Here is a 6,016-nt window from a genome sequence, read left to right as displayed (position 1 = left end):
TTCCACATTATGAAACTACTGACTTTCTGAATTAATAAAATGATCCTGAAAGTTAAATTCATTTTTATATTCTATTATTAGTATTTATGTGTTTACTGTGCTCTTAGTGTTTACATAAAAAGTCACGATGCAAAAAACTTTTTTTGTAGGATTATGCTAAAGAGAGATATGGAATATCTTCAATGATACAATCACAAGAAAAACCAGGTTAGTAGCTATGTGACAGTAAATAAAGCTTTTTTGCTTTCTAATTCCAGGAAAGCTCTAAATGAAATTTTAAGTAAGGTTGGCATAAATCTGAAGGTATAATTCTGAAAAGCTTAAATGACATTAATAATCCAAGTAGATGTCATAACCCTGTGTAAACATTGTCAGTTTAGGGTTCCAACTCTAGAAAAGGAAAAAAAATGTTATTAGGTATTGTAGGTTAAATGGTATGTTTTAAATGGTAGATTATATTTTTTAAATATTCCTAAATTATTAGGTAAGATTCAACCGTTGTCTAGGAGATAGGAGAGTGGCTAATAACTGCCTTCATCACATGTAGCCTTTTTGCATGCTTTAATAAAGCTACCTCTTTTACTTCCCCCAACCCCCACAACTTTACTTCTCTGACTGTTTTTAGCTATTATTTATTCCTATTTTGCTTGACTCTTCCCAAACATTTATATTTTCACTTATTCTCTACAGCATCCTTGAAAACTAAGGAACCAAAGTTGAAAGATAAGAAACTTGACTTACACAGAGTCTGCCAGACTTGGGATTAGAACCAAAGGCCATCTGACCCTAGAGTCCATGGGTCCTTCCATCTTACATCTTCTCTGGCTTCTTTGGCAGTACTATGATTTGAGTTTTAAAGCCTCCACCCCCACTCCATTTTGTTTACTCGTAGCTTTAGTGTCTGGGAATGAAATGAATTATTCTTAGACCCCAGTCTATCTTTTCTTATAACCGCTCTTTTTTGTTAGTGTATGTTGGCATCTTTATATTTCTTTTTTTTTTTTTTGGGAGACAGAGGCTCGCTCTGTCGCCCAGGCTGGAGTGCAGTGGCATGATCTCGGCTCACTTCAACTTCCGCCTCCCAAGTTCCTACAATTCTCCTGCCTCAGCCTCCTGAGCAGCTGGGACTACAGGCGCACACCGCCACGCCTCACTTTTTTTTTGTATTTTAGTAGAGATGGGGTTTCACTGTGTTGCCCAGGCTGATCTCGAACTCCTGAACTCAAGGCAATCCACCCACCTCGGCCTCCCAAAGTGCTAGGATTACAGGTGTGAGCCACCGCACCCGGCCTTATATTTCTTTGAAATTGACCTGACTCATGTTGTTTCTCTCAGACCTGTAGATTTTTTATTTATAAATGTTTGCCTTTCTTTTACTTCTATTCTATATATGTAATTTCAACAGATTTGTCTTACTTAACTATTTGACAGTAATTTTTCTTTTGGTAGACACTTCAAATTACGTCTCTCACTCTTTGGTGCAGTAATTGTAGACGTTTACATTCTTGCCCATTGGAAGCACTGCTTCCAGTTTAGAGGGCTGCCTATGAATATTATGCTTTGGAAATAAAACACCTCTAGGTTAATTTTATTGTTATATTTGATTTGCCACATGATCACAAAATCACTTTTCTTTCCCAGGCTTGTTGGGAAAGAATACAATAAAAGACCAAAATTCAGAGACTGAGTTGGGAGGATCACTTGAGCCCAGGAATTTGAAACTAGCCTGGGAAACATAGTGAGACCCCATCTCTACAGAAAGTAAAAAAATTAGCTAGGCGTGGTGGCATACACCTTTTATCCCAGCTACTCAGGAGGCTGATGGGAGGATCACTTGAGCCTGTGAGGTCAAGGCTGCGGTGAGCCACGATCACACCACTGGACTTCAGCCTGGGCAACAGAGTGAGACCCTGTCAAAAAAAAAAAAAAGCCAAAATTTCTGAAAATCATTTCCAAAACATAAAGATGAAATAAAGTAATTGAGTACAGGTTGAGTATCCCTTAGCCAAAATGCTTGAGACCACAAAAGTGTTTTGGACTTTATTTTTTTGGACTTTGGAATATTTGCATTATATTTACCACTTGAGCATCCCTAATCTGAAAATCCAAAATCCTCCGATGAGCATCTCCTTTGACCATCATGTCAGCACTCAAAAAGTTTTGGATTTGGGAGCATTCCGGGTTTTCGGGTTAGGAATGCTCAACCTATGTAAAATAGACTATGAGCAATAGAGTATAGGGGATGATATTCCTCTGCCAGGGCAAGCAGGAGGAGACACTTGAGACTTTGTTTTCAGGTTAGGTGTCTTTCTCAACTGTACTTCCTTGAGCTGTAACACAAAGAAGCTCACTGGAGTTTAGGTCTTTAACATAGGCCCAAAGCAGCCATTAACATAATTGCTGTTGTTCTTTTGCTGGCAAATCCACAGACAGTTGCGTTCTTCCACTTAGAGAGAAAGATAACCTATGTATGTAAAATTCGGCCTTTGGTTTTACCTCTGCAAAAATGCCAATTCTTTGCTCAAGGTGGTTTCCTTTCTCATCTGCTTCCATTTCTCTGCATTAATCACTCTGATGCCCATGACTCTTAAAAGTGCAGTTTTCAAACTGAAATCCTACTACCTTGGTTGTTACTGGTTAGCCAGTCATAGTGATGTGAGTATGGCATGGGCTTCGGGTATGTTCGGGTGTATTAAAGGTTGAGAACCCCTATGCTAGTTAATTGCCATGCCACAAGAAAGAAGAGCCATTACCCTTTTTCTTCTCCAAAGTGCTAGTAAAATTATCCTAATTATCGCATATCTCTTAGACTTCTGCTTTTCTGTTTTGTGTGGTTTTGAGTTGTGATTGCTTGGTTAGCCATTGCTTTTTCAGTCTTGGCATTTTCAAATCTGCCTTTTAAAATCTTCTGCTGATGTGTCTGTCTTTTCTCTTTCACGCTTTCTTTTGCCTGAGTTTACACAGCAGACTTGGAAGTTGGCTTAACTCATAAAGTCTGTTGGCAGTGTTTTGCAGAAATCCTCTTGTGATGCCAGTGGCTTTAAAATTCCTCTTTCATTCTCTTTGCTTTTGGCTATGAGAACCGTGTTATTTATTCTCCTGTAAATCAGATTCTCTCTGCAGCTGCATCTTTTCTTCAATAGGCAAATTATAAATACATTTAGAAAAATTCGGTAAGACATACAGTATTTATAATTTGACTTTATGTCTCAAAAGGTATTCTCGATATTGTAATGTCATGTCTATTGCTATGTTTAATTTAACTAATACTTAAATGTTTTTCTCTAATCAAATGATTGCATTTAGAAGAGTAGCAAAAATGATTGTTGAATGTTGCGTTGTATACACATCTTTACATAACAGTTGTTTTGTAGCTGTTTTCCTGTTTAGGAACTCTAGATGAATGTAGTATTTTGTTTAGTATTAGGAGCATAATAGTTGGGGCTCACTTACAGCCAAAAGGCTCGATAGGGAAATGTATGAGATGACATCAAGCATGATTGGATCTTGGGGCTCAGGAAGCATCTACAGGCCTTTCTCTCTCCAGCTTTTGGCTCTGTTTCCTTTAGGATATTGGCCTCCTTCTCGAATCCTGCAAACATAGCAGGAAAGGTGAAAGCTGCAGCCCTGGGCCTGCACCATGTCAGCGCAGCAATCCCAGGAAAGAGAGCTTCATTCCCAGCATCTGTATATTTAGTCCCAGAGAAAGACTTGCATTAGCTCAGTTAGAGTCACTGCATCCTGGGGAATAGGATACTGCGACTGTTCAGACTTGGTAGAGACTAGCTGACTTAGGTACTGTGGCAGGCAGGCAAAAGTTCCATGTCCTAGGCAGGATAGGCTGTGTTTGGCCTTACAAGTCATTGAAGTGTTCAGATTTGCATTTTGAAACTGTCTGACTTCAAAGGAGACTGAATTAGAAGGGGACACAGGGATTGCAGTTAGGAAGCTATTGCTGTAGTTCAGGTGGGAGACAATAGCTTGGTTTAGTATGGCGGCAGTGAAGATGGTAGAGAAATAGACGGATTTTAAAAATATGTTTAGAAAGCACAGTTCACAAAACTTGAGGCAAATTGCACATGGAACATGATAGAGAAGACAGTGTTGTCAAAGATTGAGAATTATTCAGGATGGTTCCAAGTACTTATGCTAGCTGTCAAAAATAATTATGATCTCTTTGTAAATTCTGAATTTAAAAATTATTTTACTATATAAAAATCGTTTACTGTTATTACAGATCGAGTTTTGGTTCGGGTTAGAGACTTGACAATACAAAAAGCTGATGAAGTTGTTTGGGTACGTGCAAGAGTTCATACAAGCAGAGCTAAAGGTAGGATTGGTTTCATTATTAAAGCTCTTTCGGTAAGGACTCCGAATTTTTTGTCTTACATATTCCTCACAGACCAAAGTAAATCTTTAAAAACAAAACAAAAACATGTAACTTTTCTTTCTTAAAAGTCACTGTAAAGTATTAACCCATGGTTAATCAATTTTAGATTCCTGTAAAACATCCTTACAAATAATTTGACCCTAAAGACTGATGAAATCTAAGACTTCAAGCTACTTTTCTAGCATCGCTCTAAAGTTTAATTATTTTCAGCTGGAGAAGGAGTAGCTAAAAAAAAAAAAAAATTGAAAAAAAAGAGTAAACTTTAATTATTTAAGTGAAGAGTGTTTTTGAGAAACTTCCCGTTTGTTAATATTTTTATATTTGTAATTATCTAGATGAGGAGAGAAGTGAACAAAAGATAAGACTGGGCAATTCAATACAGTAACCACTGACCACATGCAGCTATTTACATTTAAATTCAGTAATTCCGTCACACTAGCTGTATTTCAAGAGCTTAATGACCACATGTGGCTAACGGCTCCCATTTTGGACAGACAGCACAAATACAGAATATTCTCATCATAGAAAGTTCTTTCAGACAGTGCTAAAAATTTAGCCTCAACAACAGAGAAGAAACGTTAGGATCATTTAGACAGACCCTGTTCTTATAGAAAATTGGCCTACTGTAGTGTTCAGAATTGTCTAAAAATATCAATTGACACACTAGTTTATAACTTTATACTTTTCATACTTTTTCACATTTGATCATCCCTGCAAGTTTGTGAAGTAGGCAGAACAAGCATTCCTATTCCACTTTATAAATGAGGAAACACGTTCAGAATGAAGCTACTTGCCCAAAGTCTCATAGTAATTGGTGGAGTATAAACAGAAGCTAGAAGCTTTCTAAGACATCTCCGTCTCTTTAGCAGAGTTCTTTGCTTCTGTAGTATTTAATATGTCCCATGATAATAGCATTTTTTAATTGTGTTTTATAATATTTTTATTGTAGAATTAATACATGCCCATTATTTTAAAAATTCTACTTTGCTTCTATAGTATTTAATATGTCCCATGATATATAGCATTTCTTTCCTTTTTTCTTTTTTTCTTTTTTTTTTTTTTTTTTTTTTTGAGACAGAGTCTTGCTCTGTCACCCAGGCTGGAGTGCTGTGTTGCGATCTCGGCTCACTGCAATCTCTGCCTCCAGGGTTCAAGTGATTCTCCTGTCTCAGCCTCCCAAGTAGCTGGGATTACAGGCATGCGCCACCATGCCTGGCAAAGTTTTGCATTTTTAGTAGAGACAGAGTTTCACCATGTTGGCCAGGCTGGTCTTGAACTCCCGACCTCAGGTGATCCTCTCGCCTTGGCCTCCCAAAGTGCTGGGATTACAGGCATAAGTCACTGCACCCAGCCGATAGAGCATTTCTTAATTGTGTTTTATAATTTTTTTATTGTAGAATTAATACATGCCCATTATTTTTAAAATTCCAGCACTTTATACATACATTTCACTCTTAGGGCCACCATTGTTAAGAGTTTGTCTATTCTTTCAGTATCCTCCCCTGATGAATACTGACAGACTTTGAGAAGAGTACTGGTGGAGTTTTAAATTTTCAAATAATGTTGATTTGCCTTCCTGAAAGGTTGGGCCATTTATTCTGCCAATAGTCAGTCACATTGTATTAT

At 37.5% G+C, this 6,016-nt stretch overlaps 1 protein-coding gene across 2 annotated transcripts in view; it reads left to right on the top strand.

The window, feature by feature from the left end:
• DARS1 (aspartyl-tRNA synthetase 1) overlaps positions 1-6,016 on the top strand; it is a 79,804-nt gene that overhangs the window by 2,081 nt on the left and 71,707 nt on the right. The window contains exons 2-3 of one of the 2 annotated variants that reach the window (NM_001349.4): positions 150-207; positions 4,238-4,330. In NM_001349.4, the coding sequence (NP_001340.2) occupies positions 150-207; positions 4,238-4,330 (151 nt within the window). The remainder of the gene's footprint in view (positions 1-149; positions 208-4,237; positions 4,331-6,016) is intronic. The other variant, NM_001293312.1, reaches the window with a different exon arrangement.

Source organism: Homo sapiens, chromosome 2, assembly GCF_000001405.40.
Source record: "Homo sapiens chromosome 2, GRCh38.p14 Primary Assembly".
NCBI classification, from domain to species: Eukaryota; Metazoa; Chordata; class Mammalia; order Primates; family Hominidae; genus Homo; species Homo sapiens.
Note: the sequence above shows the minus strand (reverse complement) of the source record. Positions and strands in the feature narration are given on the sequence as shown.